The sequence below is a fragment of the Homo sapiens genome, chromosome 21 (genome assembly GCF_000001405.40).
Source record: "Homo sapiens chromosome 21, GRCh38.p14 Primary Assembly".
Taxonomy (NCBI): Eukaryota; Metazoa; Chordata; class Mammalia; order Primates; family Hominidae; genus Homo; species Homo sapiens.
In genome coordinates this window covers 38,754,607-38,777,269 of record NC_000021.9, presented here as the reverse complement: position 1 = coordinate 38,777,269, position 22,663 = coordinate 38,754,607, and the positions used below count along the sequence as shown (strand labels likewise).

The window sequence follows — 22,663 nt, the reverse complement described above, 5'->3', positions numbered from 1 at the left end:
ATCTGTGTGATGCACTGTCATCCACGCTGGGGTTCTTGGGGACCAATATGGGCAAGGATGTGTTTTGTGGCACTTAAGGAGAGCTCACACTACACACACATGAAGAATGACTGATTTCATGACTCTGTTGAAAGACCTTCTGAGTCCAAGACTCTGATTTTTTGGCAGGTTAAAGTCTCATCAGCTTCAAATTTGAAATTGTCTGCATTCATTTCTTCTGGCCATGGTAACAAATGACAACAAGCATAGTGGTTTAAAACAACACAAATATATGATCTTACAATTTTAGAGGTCAGAATTCCTAAAAGCAAGGTATCTGCAAGGCTGCATGCCTTCTGGAGGCTCCAGCAGAGAATTCATTTCTTTGCCCTTCCCAGCTTCTACAGGTACCTGCATCCTTTGGCTCAGGGCCCCCCTTCATCTTCAAGCAGTATAGCATCTTGAACTCTCTCTCCCCAACCTCTGCTTTCATTACCTCATCTCTCTCTTTGAGTCTGAGACTTGTCTCTCCCTTCTAAAGATGCTTGTGATTACATTTTGGGAACATCTGAATAATCTAGGATCATCTCCCCACCTCGAGGTCCTGCATTTAATCACATCTGCAAAGTCCCTTTGACCATGTAAGGCCACATATTTACAGGTTTCAGGGATTAGGACTTGGATACCCTTGGAGGGCCATTATTCCACCTACCACACCCTCCAAGACTGGCTCTTACTCTTCTTCCCCTCGAGCCCTTCTTGTCCATTCCCCAGTGGAAGTTTCTACTCCAACCAAGCTGGTTTTCTCGCCATCCTTCCCCACATTCATCCTGGCCTCTAGAATTCTCTCCTAATGTCCTAACTTCTCTCTTGACTCTTCTAAGTTCTTAGCATCTTTCAGGGCCCCTGGAAGCCCACTTCCTCTGGGAAGCCCTCCAGATTGGAGCTCATGTCTTCTTCTTCACAAGGTCCTTCCCATTCATTGTAACATGTAACAATATCCTGTTAACTTTTTAATGTGTCTATCTTACCTCTTTGAAGGGAGAGACTGAGCCTTCTCTTCCCTGGAGTAGAGCTGGCTGCATAGTCAGGAATTGCTGGATGGATTAAATAAATTTAAGGGAAATGCATTATTTTACTTCAAGAATAAAGAGTGATGGGGAATTCATATGATGTTAGTAATCAAATAAATGCAGACACACCATATCAAAATTGTAAGCAACAGTCTGTTTCCTCAGGGAAAAGGAGAAATGGGAGCAAGATACAGCCCAGCAAGGGGCTTGGATTGGCCCTCAGAAAGAGCTCCCGGGGCCCGGGTTTCGAGTCACTAAATTACTAGTCTGGGCTGTGGAATTTCATGCTTGGCTGCATTTGGGAACAGGGAACAGACTGTCCCTCAAGGATGATCTGGGCACAGCTATGCTCAGAATTAGAGAATGAACTGAGTAATCCTTTCAGTTTCTTGTTACTCTAGGAATCTAATGGCACTCGGTCCCAAAGTGAGCAGCATCATACTCCTTTCATTCTCGGGCTTCTCTTTCTCTTCCCAACTGTGATTTTTTGGGGGACTGATTTTAAACTATACACTTGGTCTGGAAAATGCCAATAAACGAACTACTTCAAAGCACCTTGCTTGGTGGTATCCATCCGTACTTCCCAGAAACAAGGTGCATGCATCAGAATAGTAAATGCTAGCTGCGCTAACAATCTCCTAATCTCAGTGTTGTAATGTCACAAAGGTTTGCTTCCCCTCATCCCCATTCCAATACAGCCTGAGCAGCTCTGCTGGGTTCTTCTCCATGTGATAACCCAGGGATCTAGTCTCCTTACGTCTTGTGAAGCCACCATGGTCAATACACAGCCTCCAGGGTTGTCACAGAAGGGGAAGAAGGTGTGTCAAAGATCACTCAGAGTGCTTTATGGCCAAGTCTACAGGACTCCCATCACCTCTGCCCACACACCTCTCACCAGAACCCAATGGGAGGAAAAGGAGGCTTGGAAAGGTGGTCCTCCTGTGTGTCCAGGAAGAGAGTATGGGGTGGCTTATCTATCTACACTACATCTACAAATGCCAAGCGTTGCTTGTGGCCTCATGTGAATGTCTGATTAATATGACATTTTATCCTAATACTCACAGATGTCTGGCAGCATGGACACCAGACTTTGAGATCGCTGACTGATTCTGGTATCCGCCTGACACAACCAGTGACGGCTTTTGCAACTTCTGACAGCCTGCCCAGCCTGTGTGCTCACAACTGAGTGGTCGTTTCTAATCACTAATAGTGCTCAGGCCCGGGAAGAGTGTGACATGTGTCCTGAGGTGATTTGTGATGGGGGCTTTGTTTTGACATTTTTTTCTGACCATTTGAGAAAGAACCAAGTTCCAGATCATTTGGCTTCATGACAAACAACAAAGGAGCTAGGCTTTTCTACCTTAAACCTCGGCCAGCCGGGGTGCCCCCTCCCAGGTGATGTCAGAAAGGCGGCCATGCCCTCGGGGTGAAGGGTACTAGCCATCCTCCCCCTGCCTGTACCACAGAGCCTAGGATGGGGCCTGGGATGGAGCCTGGGATGCTCTGGCTGGGGCCTGGGGCGGGGAGTGGCCTGCCAGCCTGTGTTATCTTCTAGCATTGGCACCCCCAATTTAGTCCGAGGAACCCTCCAAAGCAGCTACAGTTTCCTTCCCTTCCTGGGAAAGCTTGGCCCAAAGGCCAGGAAGGTCTTTGCCTCGGCTTCTCAGAAGGAAGGGAAGACCTGCTTTGGGCATATGGGGTAGAATTTTCTACCATGTAAAGGGTGGTATGGTCAAAATGTGAACTTGCCTTATGTCACTAATTCCTGCGAAACTTTAAATTCTTCATTGCATCCCTCACATTCAACGAGGGAATTTGTCAAAATGCTTTCTGGCAAAGTGCCTGACACAAACAATGTGAATTTCTCTGTGTAGAAATGACCCTTTCTGCCTGGTGCTAGCTTTCCTGATAAGCTCACTGGGAATGTTCCTCCTGCCGAAATGCAGATTTGTTGATCATCTTTTGGATTTCAGATCCTTGCTCTGGGAGAACGAGATGCAGGCCCGTTCCTACTGAGGACCATTGTCCCATAGCCCACTCTTGCTCCAGAGTCCTGCTGGCTTCTAGTTTCTTCTCCCATGGACCCCCAAATTCCGGGGACTTATTTCCTAATGCCTCCCACTTAGTATTCCCTGAAATAATATTCTGAGGAGTTCTGAATAGGGGAGTCTTCAAATAAATCAGCAAGTGCCGTGAGAATGCATGAGTAAGGGAAGGCGTCATGACCCAGGCCTCTCGAGCAACACTAGGGAGGCAAGCGGACGCCATCCTGCATGTGTGCAGCTCACACCTGCCACCCACGGCACAACACACCTTTCCACAGGGAAACACAGTGTTCTCTCTTCCACCCCTCATTGTCATAGCCCAGTGAAGATTCACCTATTGGGAAAGAAATGAAAACCAACATGTCTTTGAACTTAATTGTTTTCTTAACATTTGGGGCTGGGACATCTGTCTTTGCTTAAAAACACATCTATTTATATCAACAACCGTTTACATTGAGTCCTTGGAGACTGACTTAAGCAGATGTTGCCTGATGTGGGTTTTCGTACTTAGAAAAAATGTGGAATTCATTTCTACCCCACTCCCTCCTCAATAAAGTTAAATTGCAGAAATTTGCAAACCTTAGATTTCAGTGTACACAAAATACATCCTCCTAGCTTTTCATAACATGTGACTCATGTTATTGTGATGAAGGGACTAATGAATCATTTTCGTACTACGAGGGCTGGAAGACGGCAGTCCTGAGGGAGCCGACTTGCTTAGAAGGTTGGTAATGCGATTACTCATTCAATGGAGACCAGTGTAAAAGCTGAGTGTTGTACATACAGCTATGTTTATACAACCACTGCCTTGGCTTGGAGGAAGGGGCAAGGGCAAATTGGAAGTGGGTGGGAAAGACTGGAGGTGGCTTTCTGAGGCAAAGCGATGCCCAGGAATCAGACATGGGCGTGAACCAGAGGAGGAGAGACTGAGGGTGAAACCACGCTCCATCTGCATCTCGAAGTCACTTAGGCAATGACATTCATGCAGAAGGCAGACTCTGGCCACGTGGTGAGAAGAGCTCTGCTGGATTCAGGAGGAAAGCCTTCCTGCTCTCAGGGGCCCCAGGCAGGTCTGCACCACCTTTGAGGGAAGTTCCATTTCTGTCTGTTTGATTCTTCTTCTTCTTCTTGCCTTCTCTTCTTATTATCTTCCTTCTCTCTTCATCCCATTCCTCAGTGGCACACAGGCACTTTAATCCTATCTGACAGATGTTTATCCTGTGTTTGTGCCCAAAGAGAGTTCACATTGATGCAATATAATTTGTGAAACCATTTCTTCCTTATTCTGTGAAATGACACATGTAAGTTTGTATATACATAGACCTCTGTCTTCAAAGAGTAATTTTTACTGAAAAGTGAATTTACTTAAAATGGGGAACATGATTTCACAGAACCAACAAGGGCAGTGTGACAGCTGAAACTTTGTCTTGAAAAATAAAACTTAAAGTAAGAAAAGAAGTAATTTGGGATTATAATTATTATTTTGAGACAGAGTCTCACTGTGTTGCCCAGGCTGGAGTGCAGTGGCACGATCTTGGCTCACTGCAACCTCTGCTTCCTGGGTTCAAGCGATTCTCCTGCCTTAGCCTCCCAAGTAGCTGGGAATACAGGTGTGTGCCACCACACCAGGCTAATTTTTGTATTTTTAGTAGAGACCAGGCTTCTCCATGTTGCCCAGGCTGGTCTCGAACTCCTGACCTCAAGTGATCTGCCTGCCTCAGCCTCCCAAAGTGCTGGGATTACAGGAATGAGCCATAGCACCCAGCCAATTTGGGATTTTATTAATGAATTTTAGATTATTACAGTAACATCAGCTTTCACTGCACACTGAACAATCATGGTAGTTCCTCCATCACTTTCTTTAACTTCAGGGAACCTTATATCATAGGCAAGATTTGGAGTTTCATGTTGTCATCAGTTTGCACTGTATTTGCAGTGTTTTCAATTTTCATTTGTTACTAAGACTGGCATAGACATTGACCCAATAGACTACCATTAAGGCTGATGGTAGATGTGAAGGGGGTTTGAGTGTCAACTATTTCTCTACATGGTCAGTTCATTAGGGGATATTTAAAAATTATGGTTACTTTGACTTTGCTATCCACTGCTATCATAATGTTCTCATTTCAGTACAAATGCTCAGATAAAAAAGACACTCTCTCCCTTTGACACCTACTGGTGTTTATTATGAGTAAGATGTTTTGTCTCCATTAATTAATTTAAACCTTACAATGATTCAATAATTTAAGTATGACTGTCTAGTTTTATGGATGCAGGGAATTAGAAGCTCAGAGAGGTGGTGTAACATGTCTGGAGTCACAGAGTGAATAATGGAGGAGCTGAGATGTATAATCAGGTGTGTCTGATTCCAAAGTCTGTGGCTCCAGACAGTGAAGATACAATAAATACCTAACTCTTCAAGGCCCAGACACCAAAGAATATCTACAAGATCAACACTACCCAGGAAAACATGACCTCACTAAATGAATTAAATAAGGCATCAGTGACCAATCCTGGAGAAAGAGATATGTGACCTTTGAGACAGAGAATTCAAAATAGCTGTGTTGAGAAAACTCAAAGCAATTCAAGATAACACAGAAGGAATTCAGAATCCTATCAGATAAATTTAACCAAAGTCTGTGGCTCTAGCCTCTCTACACATTTCATCCAAGTCAACTGGGCTGGGTGGCCAAACACCTAAAGGTCACATCTGTCCATGGACAGCAATCAGCTCTTGATTTTCTGAGCCTCCCAAATTCTGACCTTGACTGCAAGGACCCCCTTTCAATTCAATTGACAATTAAGGCCAATGAGTGAGACCTGGTGAAGACCACACCTGAAATGAGACATAATTTCAATTCTATCCACTGCTAATTCTCTATCACTGTCACAGTACATCTTAATCTGCCCATTGAAGCATCCGAAACATAACCCTACAGGGAAAAATTTGCTAAAAATAATAGAGACCCTACCCTGGAAACGACTGTCTCTATTGGTCATTTGTCTTATGCCGCTGGATTTGAATGGGTCAATATCTGCTCTGACAGACGGCACTACAAGCACATCATGGCAACAACAGTTTTCAAATGAACTCCCTGACAATATTTCACTGGATCTGTGTGATCAACCAATGGATAACGTATTCTGTAGCACAGCACTGAGGACAGCTTGTGTTTGCTTTTATGTGTCCTGTGAGAGGCCGTTGGGAAAATTTCAAATCCTTTGTGGGTGTTAAGTGTCCAATGTGGACTGATGGGCAGGTGGAGGTGTGCAGGTGGAGAGCTGAGTCACGGCTGTGTTTGTTATGGTGGCTCCTGATTGGTTTCTAGGTTGGCTTGCTCTGCCCATGTAGAGTGACAAGGTGCATGGATGATGCTTTAATCCAAGAAGTCACAGCCCCATGGGTCAGGCAATTGCAGGTGAAATCTCAAGCAGGTGATTCTTAAGCCCAGCTCTGCCCCAGGAGATCCCAGGCTGATCAGATAACCTTTCAGAGGTTCGATATCCTCACCTCTCATGTGTAAAAAGTGGCAATGTCAAGCTCTCGGAGGTGTTGGAAAATCAGGTGAGATTTAGGGGAATCGGAAGCTTGAGAGTGCTTGGTCAGTGATCAAAAGCTGATTTCTAGGGAAGGGCTAAAGAGGAGCAATCGGTCTTTACATTGAAGGTGAGTTGTTTGTTTGTTTTTAGTTAAGATTAGTGCTTCTTAAATGATAGTTATTTTGCCATGTCAGAAGACACTTTTAAAGAAGAAGGCCTCTGGGAATATAAATGCAAAAGAAAAACCAGTACATTCCAACTTAGAGCTAATTTAAGAAAACAATCTTTCAGCAAACTTGACAACTGCTCTGAGAATGTAGCTTCTGAGACCAGTGGTGGCTCTAATCCTAAATGACTCTAATAAACAATTCTCTCTGCCATTAGAGTTATCAGAGAAATAATTTATATGATACGTTTCAGCTTGATAGACACCATCATCCCATTGCAAACCCCTATTTAGTGAACTAGATTCCAAGCTCTATTAATCATTTGAGTAGGGTGTCTGTTTGGATGTGACGTATCTACAATTAGGCTTAATTAAAACCACCCACATAGAGCATGCTGAAAGACCAGCATTTAAAAATAGGAGCTGAATAATTAGGGTCATTAATAGGAACTGATTATTTAGTTTATGATGGCTTAAACACAAATTAGGCTCAGCAGTTTTCTGGTTTCTAATGAAAACGCAGAGGGCAGAGCAAAGCTCACTTAAAGGGAATCCCTCATTATACTCTGGGAATGGCCATCGTTCTTCATCATCCTCTGTTTTAGGGTAGCCCATTCACCAAAGCATTTGCATCGGGCTGGTACAAGTAACCTGCGCCTCTGTGAGGGGTGGAGGAAAAGTGCTCTGCCCGGGGCCAAGCTAGGTAAGCCAGGGGCAGGCTGGATTCAGCCTTCCCCAGGGCCCTGGGAGGAGCCTTTGTGCTCTGCCTGAACTGCACAGGGTAGGTGGCCACCCTCCCTGGGCAGAGGCCTCCTGCAACCGACTCTTTGTCATCTCTCTGTTGCGGTTACTGCGTGGATTTTTCTGAGGCCACAGGAAATCTACTGATGCATCTCCCGGATCACCCACAGTCTATGACTGCCCGCTCTTAAATAAACAGTTTATGTACATGATGCTGTGCTGTTTGTGATGTTTCACATTCTTTGGCCTTAATGGGGGGCTTATAGAGCTTCCAACTGAGTAAGACAAGGATATCTTTCAAAGCAGGTATGAATAAGGCAATGAGATGCTCCACCTCTACCAGGGCCTGAGCTGAGCTTACGAGTGTAAAATCCAGAGCTGGCGCTGATTCGGTGTGGGGGTGGGATGGGAGCAGGGTAGGAAAGTGAGAAGCTGAATTCAGTAGAGCATCAGAGGCTAAGATTTATTGGCTGGTACCCAGTGAAAATGGAAAGACTTTTCTGGCCATGATTTTTTTTTCCCATAGACTTGAGCTGGATTTTATTCACAAGAATCCAAAATAAGTATTTTAAGTGTGTGTGTGTGTATGTGTGTGTGTGATTTGTGTGCGAGTGTGTGTGTGTCTTATTAGGTGATTAAGCACGTAAGAGGCTAAGTTCCTGTTCCTTTCCTTTATGTTGGAAATAATTTTAACCTTGTTCTCCTGGCTCAGAATCCTTTTCAAGCTACAAGCAGATTTCTTGTGAGTTGCAGGATGGTTTCTGGATTTGTTGCGTGAGACGTGACCTACCCTCCAATGTCTGAAGTCATCTCTTGCCTGCCTGGAAGGCCTGCTGTATGTTTCGGGCATTACTGTTTATCCTCACGTCATAGTTTTACATGTGAGTCACTCTCATACAAAATGTTCACTTCTATTTTGTTTTGGAGGAAGGTTAGGGTGTTTTAAGCTAGACTGGTTTAGATTCACAAGAAAAGGATGTGACCTATGTTTCTGATGTGTTTGTGAAGTTGATTAAATAAGAGAATGAAACAGAAAGCAGTCCCTTTAGGAAAGTATCACATAGAGTTTCTCGGCCTCAGCACTGTTGGCATTTGAGGCCGGATCATTCTCCGTGGCGGGGGTCGTCCCGTGCGTTGTAGGATGTTGAGCAGCATCCCTGGCCTCCACCTACTAAGACTAGCAGCACATCCTCCCACCGTTTGCCCCCAGTGGTGACAATCAAAGATGTTTCCAGACATTGTCAAATGTCCCCCGGGGGTGGGGGGCAAAATCGCCCCCAGTTGAGAACCTCTGATAGAATGATTCATCTGGGTGGGGAAAATTAATTTTGTTCTTCCAAATATCTGAAGTAGCTTGAACGAATTTTGTTTTTCTGAGACATTCAAAGAATTATGGAATCTTGAGATTGTTTATCCTCTGAAAGAAGATGAAATCTTCTCTTTTAACTCCTTTTTTTTTTTTGGATCTTTTTGGTTTTCTTTGTGATTTATCTCCAGCAATTTTAAGATTTAGGATTACATTGTATATCAACCATTCTTACACTATGTAAATTAAGTTTATTTCCTACTTGACTCAAGATAAAAAATATAATTTCCAATGGTTTTCCAACTGTTTTCTACGTTGGCAAAATTTCAAATCATCTGTAACTGTTGACCTTTATTGAGGCTTCTCTAATAATCACTTTCTCCAACTCACGGAAGAGACACTTCATAGATTTGTGGTGACAAACCTTAGCTTTAAAGCTAGCTGAATGTTTTGTATACTTCTCTTCTTGACCCAATCTATTGATAACTGTCCAGCCTTTGTGGTGTGCCGAATTAATGTACTGCAAATTGCGTCCATAGAAACAGGTGGTATATTCCCCCAAGGCACGTTGTGAATTTATAATCACCCATGTATCCCACAGAGTTATTCTGAAATTGATTCAAGATTACGTTCTGAGATAAATCTGTATTCATTGCTATGAAAAGTTGCCCATAATATACTAGTGAGTAGAAAAGCAAGTCATTGAATACTGTGGTTTTAAAATAAAATGAAGTGAAACCAAATGATGTTAGAGCATGCTTTTATGCACAGCAGAGAAAGTTCTTCTAAATATGTTTACCACGCATTAAAACAGTTGCTTCTGTGGAGTCTGAAAGTGGAGGGCTGGCTTGTGGGCAGGGGAGGAGGTGGAGGCAGACGCAGTTCTGTTTCTATCTTATACACTTCTGTATCTTTTAAGTTTTTTGAATCAGCACATACTAACTACTTTTATAATTTAAATAAGTGAAACCTATTTTCTCTTTCTTTTTTGTTTGCCACTACACAAGTGACAATTTCGTGCTTTTACTTCTGCCCTTTTTTCCTCAGAGGGACCACGCTGTCTTTCAGTTTCAGTTTGAACAGTTGGCTCTATCTCAAGTGATACCAGTCAATAGTTTCACCTTGCCTCACTCAGCCTGCACAGGATATGCAATTGCGTTTCAGGGGTAAACTTGGTATCATTTTCTAAACACGTCCACCGTTTCTTCTATGTGGCAGCGGGGGCATTGGTTGAGCAGGATCAACAAAGGCCTCCCCTCACCTGCTTCCAGCCCTGAGGCTCCAGAGCTGCAGAGCCGCGGCTACCTCTGTGGGTGGAGACGTAGGGGGAACAGGCAGACAGATGCAAGCCTGGGAACATAGGACTCCAGCGAGATAGGCATGTGAGTGCTCACCGGAAGTTAGCACACAAACACTCACTATCACCTAGCTTTGGGTTTAAAAGCAATTACTCTTTGTTTTTTTTTTGTTTTGTTTTGTTTTGTTTTTGAGACAGGTTCTCACTCTGTTGCCCAGGCTGGAGTGCAGTGGTGCGATCTCAACTCACTGCAGCCTTTACCTTCTAGGCTCAAGCAATCCTCCCACTTCAGCCTCCTGAGTAGCTGGGACTATAGGTGTGTGCCACCATGCCCAGCTAATTTTTGTATATATATACATATTTTTTTTTGTAGACACAGGGTTTCTCCATGTTGCTCAGGCTAGTCTTGAACTCCTGGCCTCAAGCCATCCACCTGCATCGGCCTCCTGAACTGCTGGGATTACAGATGTGAGCCACTGCACCCGGCCTCCAGCTACTTTTAATAAGGGGAATCAAACTAAGGACAAAAAAAGTGATGCCATGCAGAGCAGCAGAGCTAATTCCAGGTCACACCCTCATGACACCTCACGGGACATTCAATTACCTTTCCAAGGGCTGCTGCAACAAAGCACCATAAACCAGGTGGTGCAACAAAGCACCATAAACCACCAGAACCCCCTTATGGTTCTGGAAGCCAGAAGTCCAAGATCAACATGTTAGCAGGGCCTTGCTCCTTCTGAAGACTGTAGGGAAGGATCCTTTCTTATCTCTTTTGAGCGTCTGGTGTTGCCAGCCATCCTTGCATTCCTTGGCTTGCAGACTCATCCCTCTAGTCTCTGTCTGCATCATCACATACGTGGCTGTCCTCTTCCCTTTATGTCGGTGTCCCTTCTTCTCTTCTTATAAAGACACCAATCTTCTTGGATGAAGGGCCCACCCTTTCTCATATGACCTCAACTTAAGTAATTTCACTGGCAAGGATTCTATTTCCAATTTCCAAATAAGGTCACATTCTGAGGTCCCAGAAGTTAGGGCTTCAAAATATCGATAACAGATGTCCTCTGCAGGTTTCCTTTTCTCACAGTGGCCATTGCTGCATCTTCCTGATTGGCTCTAGATGTGGAGTTTCGGAGAGATCTTAGTCCTTTGCAAGGTTTCCTACTCAGCCCCATGAGCTGGCATTTCGTGGGCCCCTTCCCCAAGCCCCCTCCAGGCTCCTGAGCCATCTTTCCCCCACATCTTCCTGCTCTCCCCACAAAAATGGTTCCAAAGCTGCTGCTTACCAGCCTTGCACCTTGAGTCTGGCCTTTGGCCTCTCTGAGTTTCCCCAAGAGAAACATGTTGGTCTAGAAGGTCTCCAGGTCCCTTCCAAGGTGAAACTTCATGATTCCTGGATTCATTAACAAAGGCTATCAATCTAGCAACCTGTGATCTCCACCAATTATCTCTGGAAGCAATTTGGCTATGAATTGTTGTAGGGAGGGCATTTCAATGGAATAGAGATTGAAAATTGTTATAATAGAAGTCACAGAATCTTCAAGAGCAGTACTCATCAATGCTCAAATAGCTGCAGTTCTCTATTGCCCCCATTGGAGCTGAGCAGACCCCCATGAGGAGGAGGATGCTCCCACCCTTACCCATGTCCTGTTTAAGTGCCTTGGCACAGTGCTGGCTCAAGACATCCTTCCAATTCTGCACTGCCATTCGTCCCCTCTTATCTCTGATGACCAGGGCTGTCACTGGGCACAGCTTCCCACTGCCCATCAGCATGGTACCCTGGACATTGCAGGTCCTCCTCTCCCTGCACGAGGAAGTGCTGGTTTCACTGAGCCACTGTGGCAAAGCCTAGCCATGAAGTAACTGGCAATGACTGCACCGTTTAGTTCAGGACTAGTGCAGGCTCCGCAGTCAGACATCTGGGCTGAAGTCCCAGCTCCACATTGCCATGTGCAGATGCGGATGCCTCCCTGAAACTTTGTGAGTTTCAATTTCCTCTTCACTGGGAGGTGACTACAGCATCTTCCCCAGAGGTTCTCATGAGGATTGTCTCATGAGACAATCGTTGTAAAACATGGAATGCAATGTGAAAATTAAAGACATCACTAGGAAGGCTCCTAGGTAAACGTGGTGAAGAGGGAACTCGACTATCTTCAATAAAGAGATTATTTTTTAAAGTTGTAAATCCCCAAGGATAGATGGGAAGACCAGGAGAAGAGAGAACAGGGTGCAGATTTTAGAGGCTGGAGTGCAGGTGGATAGTGGAGCTGGGCTTGGCCAATTTAAGAAAGCCAAATCCTACACTAGCTGTGCAGAAATTGCCTGATTTGCACGACAGAACATTGATGTTCAGGACCCAGTGCCTCCAGAAATGGGAGTGGAGGAGGCCTAAGGAAGGAGGACGGGATGAAAGTTGTTTGGGGGCCGGGTGCAGTGGCTCACACCTGTAATCCCAGCACTTTGGGAGGCCGAGACGGGTGGATCATGAGGTCAGGAGATTGAGACCATCCTGGCTAACATGGTGAAACCCCATCTTTACTAAAAAATACAAAAAATTAGCCAGGCATGGTGGCGGGCGCCTGTAGTCCCAGCTACTGGGGAGGCTGAGGCAGGAGAATGGCATGAACCCAGGAGGCAGAGCTTGCAGTGAGCCGAGATTGCGCCAGTGCACTCCAGCCTGGGCGACGGAGTAAGACTCCGCCTCAAAAAAAAAAAAAAAGGTTGTTTGGGAGGCAGTTGGATCCCTGGATGCCCGCTCCTAATTTTCCCTGGCTGAACTTGGGGATTTATTCTTTGGAGAAGCTGTAACTGCAGTTGCTGGCATGGAGGACCACAGGCACAATGGCAGGTGGGACTATACAGAAAACAGGGCGTTGAGGAAGCAGACACACAGCAGAATGCAGAGCCCCTGAGCTCCCTAAGATGGCAACTAGACATTTACCTTCCAGGCTGCAGACTGGAAGGATCTTCTCTGGTCCAGAAAAAAAAAATTACATCAGGAGTCTCCTAATAAATGGTTCAGGCAGAGCATGCTACAGGGGAGCTCTTGGTGGATGGGCCCCTGTGCAAATGCCTAAATCTGCTTTTGGGTTTCCCCAGATTAAAAATGAACAGACAGGCTGGGCATGGTGACTCTCACCAGTAATCCCAGCACTTTGGGAGGCCAAGGTGGGTGGATCACTTGAGGTCAGGAGTTTGAGACCAGCCTGGCCGACATGGCAAAACCCACTCTTTACTAAAAATATAAAAGTTAGCAGGGTGTGGTGGCGCACGCCTGTAGTCCTAGATAACACAGGAGGCTGAGGCACCAGAATCACTTGAACCTGGGAGATGGAGGTTGTGGTGATCAGAAATTATGCCACTGCACTCCATCCTGGGCAACACAGCGAGACTCTTTCTCAAGAAAAGAGAAAAAAATGTTAATTTGCTGAGAATGATGGCTTCAGAAAACCAAACACCGCATATTCTCACTCATAAGTGGGAGTTGAACAATGAGAACACATGGGCACAGGGAGGGGAACATCACACACTGGGGTGTGTTGGGGGGTGGGAGTCTAGGGGAGGGATAGCATTAGGAGAAATACCTAATGTAGATGACGGGTTGATGGGTGCAGAAAACCACCATGGCATGTGTTTAACTACATAACAAACCTGCACATTCTGCACATGTATCCCAGAACTCAAAGTATAATTTTAAAAAATTAAAAAAGAAAAAAACCATTTTGACAACTTAAAAAAAATGGACAGCAAAGCAGCCAAGGACTGGCTGACCACTAAGGACCTGCTGGAGGTAACAAATGTGAAAGGTAAAAGCACATGAAAAAGTTATAAAACAATTTGGGCTAATAAGCCCGTGAAAAGATATTGAGTATTGTTACCATTAGCTACCAGGGAAGCACAAGTCAAATCCGCATTGAGTTTGTGCGCCCGTGTTCACAGCAGCACGATCCACAACAGCCAACAGGTGGAAAACAACCCAGGCGTCTGTCCAGAGATGCATGAATAAGCAACATGTGGTCTCTTCGTACCATGGACCATTATTCAGCCTTAAAAAGGAATGAAGTACTGACACAGGCTACAACATGGATGAACCTTGAAAACACTATACTAAGTGAAGAAGGCCAGACACAAAAGACCAGAAATTGGCTAGGCGCAGTGGCTCATGCCTGTAATCCCAGCACTTTGGGAGGCTGAGGCGGGCGGATCACCTGAGGCCAGGAGTTTGAGACCAGCCTGGCCAACATGGTGAGACCCCATCTCTACTAAAAATACAAAAAATTAGGCGGGCATGGTAATGGATGCCTGTAATCCCAGCTACTCAGGAGGCTGAGGCAGGAGAATTGCTTGAACCCAGGAGGTGGAGGCTGCAGTGAGCTGAGACCACGCCACTGTACTCCAGTCTGGGCAACAAGAGCAACATTCCATCTTAAAAAAAAAAAAAAAGACCAGAAGTTGTATTATGTCATTTATATGAAATTTCCAGAATAGACAAATCTATAGACATGGAAAAATGGATTAGTGCTTCCCAGGGGCTGGGGAGAGGTGGAGATGGGGGATGAATATTAACAGGTATGGAGCTTCTTATTAAGGTGATAAAAATAGGCTGGGATAAATGATAGTGGTGGTTGCACAGCTGTGTGAATATCCTTAAGAAGGCCAAATTTCATCTTATGTGAACTGTATCTCAGTAAAAATAAAAGTCAAAAGAAACCTGGAGGAAACCAAGACTACACCTACTGTTAACACCTTTAGAGAGATGAGATGAGTTTTCTTCTATGCATCAAGAATGAGAGACCATACAGGAGATCGAGACCATCCTAGCTAACACGGTGAAACCCGTCTCTACTAAAAATACAAAAAATTAGCCGGGCGTGGTGGTGGGCGCCTGTAGTCCCAGCTACTCAGGAGGCTGAGGCAGGAGAATGGCGTGAACCCGGGAGGCGGAGCTCGCAGTGAGCGAGATCGCGCCACTGCACTCCAGCCTGGGCGACAGAGCAAGACTCTGTCTCAAAAGAAAAAAAAAAAAAGTGAGAGACCATAAAAAAGCAACATTTGGAAAATAACAAGCACTGGGCAAGCTTGGGGAAAGTCACATGATAGCCAAAATGAAAGACCCAGTACAAGGATTAGAAGGCATGGCTGGAAAATTGTATTAGAAAATAGAGCAAAGTGAAAAGAGAGAAGAAAAGGGAGAGAATGTATGAAATTGGAGGCCCAGACCAGGAAATGCAGCTTCCAGATGAATTCCAGGAGGAGAGAACAGAGAAGCTGGTAAGTCTTTAAAATACAATTCAAGAAACTTTTCCAGAAATGAATAACACCAGCTTGCAGGTCTAAAGGGCCTAGTACAAGAGATAAAAATAGACCTACACGAAGCCTCGTTGCTGTGCAATTTCAGAGCAGTGAGGACAGGAAGAAGATTTTACAAGCTTCCAGGGAGAAGAAAAAAGGCAACACATGAAGACTCAGGACTCAGAATGGCTGTAGCTTTCCCTGCAGCCGCTCTGGGAATGACAAGAGGATGGGGCTTTCTGCAGGAAGGTGGTTTTCGACCTGGGCTTCTACACCTATAGAAACTATCAATCCAGTGCACAGGCAGAATAAAGGCATTTTCGGAAATGTTGAGGTGTCAATTAGAAGTTACAGGTTAGGCCAGGCGTGGTGGCCCACACCTGTAATCCCAGTTCTTTGGGAGACTGAGGTGGGAGAATTGCTTGAGGCCAGGAGTTCAAGACCAGCCTGGGCAACATAGCAAGACCCCATCTCTATTAGAAAAATAAATAAAATTAGCTGTGTGAGGTGGTGCATGCCTGTAGTCCCAGCTACTCGCGAGGCTGAGGTGGGAGGATCACCTGAGCCCAGGAGTTTGAGGCTGCAGTGAGCTGTGTTCATGCCACTGCAATCCTGCCTGAGCGACAGAGCGAGACCTTGTCTCCAAAAAAAAAAGTAACAGGTTAAATATTCATCTTGCAACAAGGATTGATCTTGAAAACTATCCAAAAGGAAAAGAGTCAAATCATGACGAGATAAATAGCATGAGTTACGTAAATTAAAAGCGTTTACGTGAAACACAGTAGGCACTTTGCAGATGGTTGGCAAACATATCCCCCTGGAGTGAAAGAAGGAGAAAGGGAGAGGGAAGATGATGAAAATAGGAGGGAAAGTGAGGAGGAATGAGAGGAGCAGGGAGTGAGCAGGTGGCCTGTGTGCCTTCTACCAAAATCATCACAGAATATGAGGTCAGCTTTGCAGAATCCGAAGAACTTTCATCGAAATAGCAAAAGCCCCATTCTGCCCTCAGAGAACTTACCTTAATGTATTAGTGTGCTAGGGCTTCCATAATAAAGTACCATAGGGTAGGCGGCTTCAACAACATTTATTTTCTCCGTCCTGGAAGCTAGAAGTCTGGGATCCAGGTGTGAGCAGGGTTCGTTCCTTCTGAGCCTCCCTCCTTGGCTTACAGACGGCCGCCTTCTCCCTGTGTCCTTACATGGTCATGTCTGTGTTCTAATCTCCTCTTCCTGTTAGGACACCAGTCAGATCGGATTAGGGCCCACGCTAATGACTTCACTGCATCTTAATTATCTCTTGAAAGACTATCTCTGAATAAAGACATGCTTTGAAGTACTGGGGGTTAAAGCTTCAACAGATGAGCTTGGGGGGAACACAGTTCAGCCCCTTCCAAACAGGTGGATAGACAGCTGTCAGAGATTGGGTTTCCTCATCTCTAACATGTACACGAGAACACCACCTAGCTCTCAGAGGTGTCTGAGAATCAGGTGAGAGCCAGCTGGAAAGGGCACGTGAGAGAGCACTGCCAGCAGCGAAGCACCCAACAGGCCTCAATTCTTATTTCTGCAGGTCGAAGCCCAGATCTCCAACTCAGACCTCCATTTGATGCATTGTTTGATCTTATTAAAGCTGTAAGTTCCCAGAACCATTTCCCACTTTGCAGCAAAAGCCACGTTAGCAGAGTCTTATCGTAACATGCCTGTCCATGATGCCATTTCATGATTTGTTGTTTTGAACGGATTGAGCTGAATCATTCGGATTGGCACTGTTTTCTCTTTCTGGGTCTGACTGGAGAGTCTGGCCAGGGTCTAATCAGTTGAATTCCGGTTAAGAAAGGACCTAGTCTCTTCTCCCTACAACTCTTCTTAAGATGCTTTTATCCCAAGAAAAATGGGCTTTTTATTTAATATAAACAGAAGCACACGTGAAAGTTTGAGCCTTTTTGCAAGTGTGAAACAAAGACTTCTATTTTTATCTTTTGCCAAACTTGACATTTTGTTGTGAGCCCTGGAAGGGGCTCCTTTTTTCAGAAGGGAGAGGCCCTCCCTGCCTGGTCTCCACAGCCTCTCAGGGAATGTGGTGTTTAATGATGAGTTATTAGATAGTCAGAGGCATTTGCGGAGCTGTATGGGAGTGCCAGATCGCCCTCTGATAATAAATTGAGCTAAAGTCTGTTGGCATCGCAGACAGGGCTGTGTTTAAGTGAAAATCTGAAACCTGACCAAGAATATGGAGCTAAAGTTTGAGGCCTCAGCCTCCAATGTCATTTTTCTGAACGACATCCAGCAGATATCGGATAAGCAGAAATGCCATTAGGAAAGCCCCAGGAACTACTCGCTGAGTAGACAGAAGATGCCTAAAGGCAGAAGGGATCTCCAGAGAGTTCAAGAAACTTCCAGGAATGGCTGGTTGGCCACATGAAATTAATGGAGACATCATGAAAAGATTTTCTTTGGTTTAACAAAATTGTGTCAGTCATGCATAGCTGTGTTCAGCTTTGGGGGTGCACAAAGGTGAGATAGACGTCACCACTGTTGTCAGGGGTTTACAGATGTGCGTGTGTGTGTGCATGTGTGTGTGTGGGAAGAGTGTCAGGAGGAAAGGACAGCAGAGGGATTTCTTTTGATCATAATACAAGGTAAGGTGGAAGGTATAATTCAGTTTAATATGGTTTTTCTCCCCACTCCCATCCCCTTTCCTGGTCAGTCTTTATTTTTCTTCAGGGCACAACCCATGTTCTGTTACATTATACATTCATTTGCTTATCATGTTGGTGGTTTCTTGCCCCAGCCAGACTGTACCAGGTACAGATGTTTCTTTATTCCTGGCACTCAGCGCAGTGTCTGGAATGCATTAGGCTCTGCAAGTCTGTGTCGGGTGAACAAATACTAAATACAGGAGAAATCCCCACGAAGGCACGGGACGAAAATTCCAGGAGTCTCACCCCTCAAAAGGCTGGGGGTTTGGTTCCTCCAAACCATGGGGTGGCATGGGCTGACAAAAAAACAAAATCATGTGGATCTTCAGGTCACATTATGAGAAATCAAATATTGTATTATCCAAAGATTGTTTCCAAAATCTTTGTTGGTTAAGTGATACAGGCACACAAAAAATGTTGACTGGGCATTGGGACATGAATGAAAGAGGAAATGCATTTACTGACTAAGAGAATTTGCTTGAAACTCTTGAGGGCTGTTTAATCTCTTTCAGCACAAAATCAATATGCCTATAAAGAGTTTAAAATATAATGGAACATTCTTAAAGTGAGAATTCAGTAAAATGAGCATTTAGTGTTAAGATGTACCAAACTGCATCTGGCAGGAGGAGTAAGATAAATTTCATTCCTCCCCTTTTCTTACTCTACAGGTTTGCACTCTTCAGGTTTTCTTTTTAAAAAACAGTATAGAATTAAACAGTGGAAGATGTTATCTATATTTTTAAAAACCAAAAGATTTAATTGTACATTTAATTAACACCAAAACTCAGGAAAATTGTAAGATATAGAAATATGTCATTTTGAAAACACTTCACTTGAGCACAGGAGTTCGATACCAGCCTGGGCAACATAGTGGGACCCCTGCTTCTACAAAAAATTTACAGAATTAGCCAGGCATGATGGTGCATGCCTGTGGGAAGAGTGTCAGGAGGAAAGGACAGCAGAGGGATTTCTTTTGATCATAATACAAGGTAAGGTGGAAGGTATAATTCAGTTTAATATGTTTTTTCTCCCCACTCCCATCCCCTTTCCTGGTCAGTCTTTACCTTTTACTTTACCCTGTGGTCCCAGCTACTCGGGAGGCTAAGGTGGGAGGATCACTTGAGCCTGGGAGGTTGAGGCTGCAGTGAGCTGTGATCATGCTATTGCACTCTAGTCTAGGTAACAGAGCAAGACCTCGTCTCAAAACATAATAAAAGGAAACACTAAAAATCCTAAACAACAACAACAAAAAAACCAAAACAGGAAACGCAACTAGTTAATAAGAAATAGTCCCAGCAACAATCTTTCCAAGGAAATGGAAATCAGTATATTGTATGTTTTAGTCTGGTGTGGTGGTGCAAGCTTGTAATCCCAGCTACTCGGGAGGCTGAGGCAGGAGAATGGCGTGAACCTGGGAGGTGGAGCTTGCAGTGAGCTGAGATCGCGCCACTGGACTCCAGCCTGGGTGAAAGAGCAAGACTCCATCTCATAAATAAATAAATAAATAAATAAATAAATAAATAAATAAATCTCCCCAAATAATATTTTAAAAAGAAAAATGGTCTGTAGTCCCAGCGTTTTGAGAGGCCAAGCTGAGAGGATTGCTTGAAGCTGGGAGTTCAAGACAAGCCTGGGCAATATAGCAAGACCCCCATCTCTACAAAAAATAATAATTTTACAAATAGCCAGGCATGAAGGCTCATGCCTGTAGGCTGAGGAGGGAAGATCACTTGGAGTTTAAGGTTGCAGTGAGCTTCACTGCGGTCCAGCCTGGGCAACAGAGTGAGATCCCAATTCATAAATAAATAAAATAAAATAAAAGACAGAAATGGATGACACTTGAAGATACCTGGCAAAGAACAATATTCAAATGGTCAATAAATATAGGGAAAGGGGCCCAGACTCTTAAGTAATCAGAAAAGTGCAAATTAAAAACATTGAGATTCCAAATACACTCACCAAGGTGGCTAAGATTAAAGGGAATATCCATGCCAGGGGCTGGTGACAATGGAGAGTGATGGAGACTCTCTCATATCATACATTTGGTTCTAGTCACTAAAGGAAGAGGTTTGGTATTATCTATTAAAGTGAAGATGTGCATTCCTTCTTTCATAGTAATTCCACTCCTAGGTAGATACTCAGCGGAAAAGCATGCCTATTTTTAGCACGAGACTTGTACAGCAATCTTCACAGCAGCAGTGTGTATAGCAGCTTTAGACTGGAAAAAACCCAACTGTCCATCAACAATGAAATGGATTCATGAAAATGTTTTTTAAAATATAATAAACAACTTCACTGCAGTGAAGAAATTGGACCACAGTTACATGAACATGAATGAACCTCATAAACAGAATGACGTGCAAAACAAGCCAGATACTAGAGAAAACATATCACAGAATCCCATTTATATACTTTAAAAAACAGACAGGGGCTGGGCGCGGTGGCTCACGCCTGTAATCCCTACACTTTGGGAGGCCGAGGCGGGTGGATCACGAGGTCAGGAGATCGAGACCATCCTGGCTAACACAGTGAAACCCCGTCTCTACTAAAAAATACAAAAAAAAAATTAGCCGGGAGTGGTGGCAGGCGCCTGTAGTCCCAGCTACTGGGCAGGCTGAGGCAGGAAAATGGCGTGAACCCGGGAGGCGGAGCTTGCAGTGAGCCGAGATCGCGCCACTGCACTCCAGCCTGGGCGACAGAGCGAGACTCCGTCTCAAAAAAACAAAACAAAACAAAACAAAACAAAAACAGACAGAAGTAAACTATAGTATTGAGGGGTCATGCTTAGGTGGGTATAGCTGAAGAAGAGCAAGGAAATCTACGTGCTATTCATTGAGCTAGACATTTCTGATTTGCACAGTTTTCTGTTTGGGAAGTATATTTCACAATAGAAGTGGCTAAAAATAACATAACCTCTATAACTTTTAAAAATACGAAGTTATTTGGGTCATTATTGGTGATTTAGATATAATCAGTGAGCAGGAGTAGATGAACTATCCCAGGTGCTTTGGTGAGGCTGGATTCCACCTGTGGGAGCTAGTTGTTATGTAACCATAGTGATAAGGAACACATTTCATTGGTTAAAATGGAGGGAAATTAACCAATCATCATAATCCTCATGTTTGCTACAGCACTTTTTTTTTTTTTTTTGCAATGACTAGAAGAGGAAGGCCAGGGATGAAATGTTTCTAATGTGTTTTAAAATTTAATGTGGCCTAAAGAAAAAGCGGTGTTACTGCAACACAACAGGAAATAGCTGAGGGAGCCTGTTAGCAAATTTTGAGCAACGGGTCGTTGCTGCCAAGGCTAAGAGGTGAAAAATGTGCCTTCTATGAGTCATTGACTCCACACAGTATGAAGCTAATAAACTACCACTGTGGCCAATGGGGAGTCTACATTCCGGGCAAATTTGTATAGGGTTTTTTCGCACGTGGGATGGTCAACAGACCCCAGGGAGAGTAAGTGTTTCTATTCTAATGATGGTGATGATAGACTATGGTGATCAAATTGACTAAAGCTGCAGGCAGCAGTCCTCTGCTTTGCTGGGATTACGGACCCAAGACCTATGTTTTATTATAGTAGCAAAAATAATCTATATGTGTATGGTTCTTTGTAGTTTACAAAATGTATTTGCATATATACATATCATTCTATTTTCAGCTATGTCGAGTAGGTAAATCAGCTATTATTACTCCCATCTGCCACACAATTAAACCAAGACTCAGGAAAATTAAGTGGTGTTGTTCAGAGTTACCTAGCAGGTACAGGTTAAGCATCCCAAATCCAAAAATCCAAAATGTTTCAAAATCTGAAATTTTCTGAGTACTGACAAGATGCTTTAATGATAGGTTCATTGGAACATTTAGATTTCAGATGTTTGGATTTGGGATGCTCAATTGGTAAGTATAATTCAAATATTCCAAAATCCAAAATAATCTGAAATCCAAAACACTTCTGGCCCCAAGCATTTCAAATAAAAGATGCTCAGCCTGTAATAGAATCAAGTCAGTCTACGGCACTTCAATTTAGTACTTGTTCCCCCTGATATAGGTGGTTCTCAATCTCTGATCCTTGGAGTTACTCCCAGGGGTTCAGAAACCTATAACAGAGATTAAATAACGCATACACTTACATGCCACCATTTTTATATGTATGCATTAATTTCATGCAATAAGACAAAATATTTTTAATGTTAATGAATTCACAGTGCCTTTTGTCACTCCATTTCTTAATAAGTATCACCACAAATATTTATTGAGCACCTACCATGTGCCAGGTGCTTTTCTAAAAGCTTGGAAACAGAAGTAAGGCAGAAAAGTCCCTGTCCCCTTGGAATTTATTTTCTTGTAAAGAATATAGTTGAGTGAATATTAAGTGAAAAAAAATTAAAGCAGCTTAAGGGAAGAGGGTGCCTACAGTGGAGTTGGGGGTGGAGACATCCCCTCCTCAAGAAAGTTGAGAATGACCCTGCACTCCACAGAGCTTCTCAAGGCACAAGTGGTGCAGGAAGAACATTTTATAAAAGTGAA

General features: G+C 44.0%; 1 long non-coding RNA gene across 2 annotated transcripts in view, besides 1 other annotated feature; it reads left to right on the top strand.

Moving 5' to 3' along the window:
• Positions 1-3,792: 3,792 nt before the first annotated feature.
• Positions 3,793-22,663, top strand: part of LINC00114 (long intergenic non-protein coding RNA 114) — a 34,457-nt gene continuing 15,586 nt past the window's right edge. Inside the window, exon 1 of one of the 2 annotated variants that reach the window (NR_027065.2) lies at positions 3,793-3,821. This is a non-coding gene — a long non-coding RNA (long intergenic non-protein coding RNA 114). Of the gene's footprint in view, positions 3,822-8,295; positions 8,426-22,663 lie in introns of those variants that run through there. The other variant, NR_027066.2, reaches the window with a different exon arrangement.
• Positions 10,184-10,313: an enhancer, noted in NCBI's record as "active region_18458". NCBI's record gives its function as "activates an Ori minimal core promoter by ATAC-STARR-seq in GM12878 lymphoblastoid cells {active_cell/tissue: GM12878}" and the evidence as "EXISTENCE:reporter gene assay evidence [ECO:0000049][PMID:35858748]".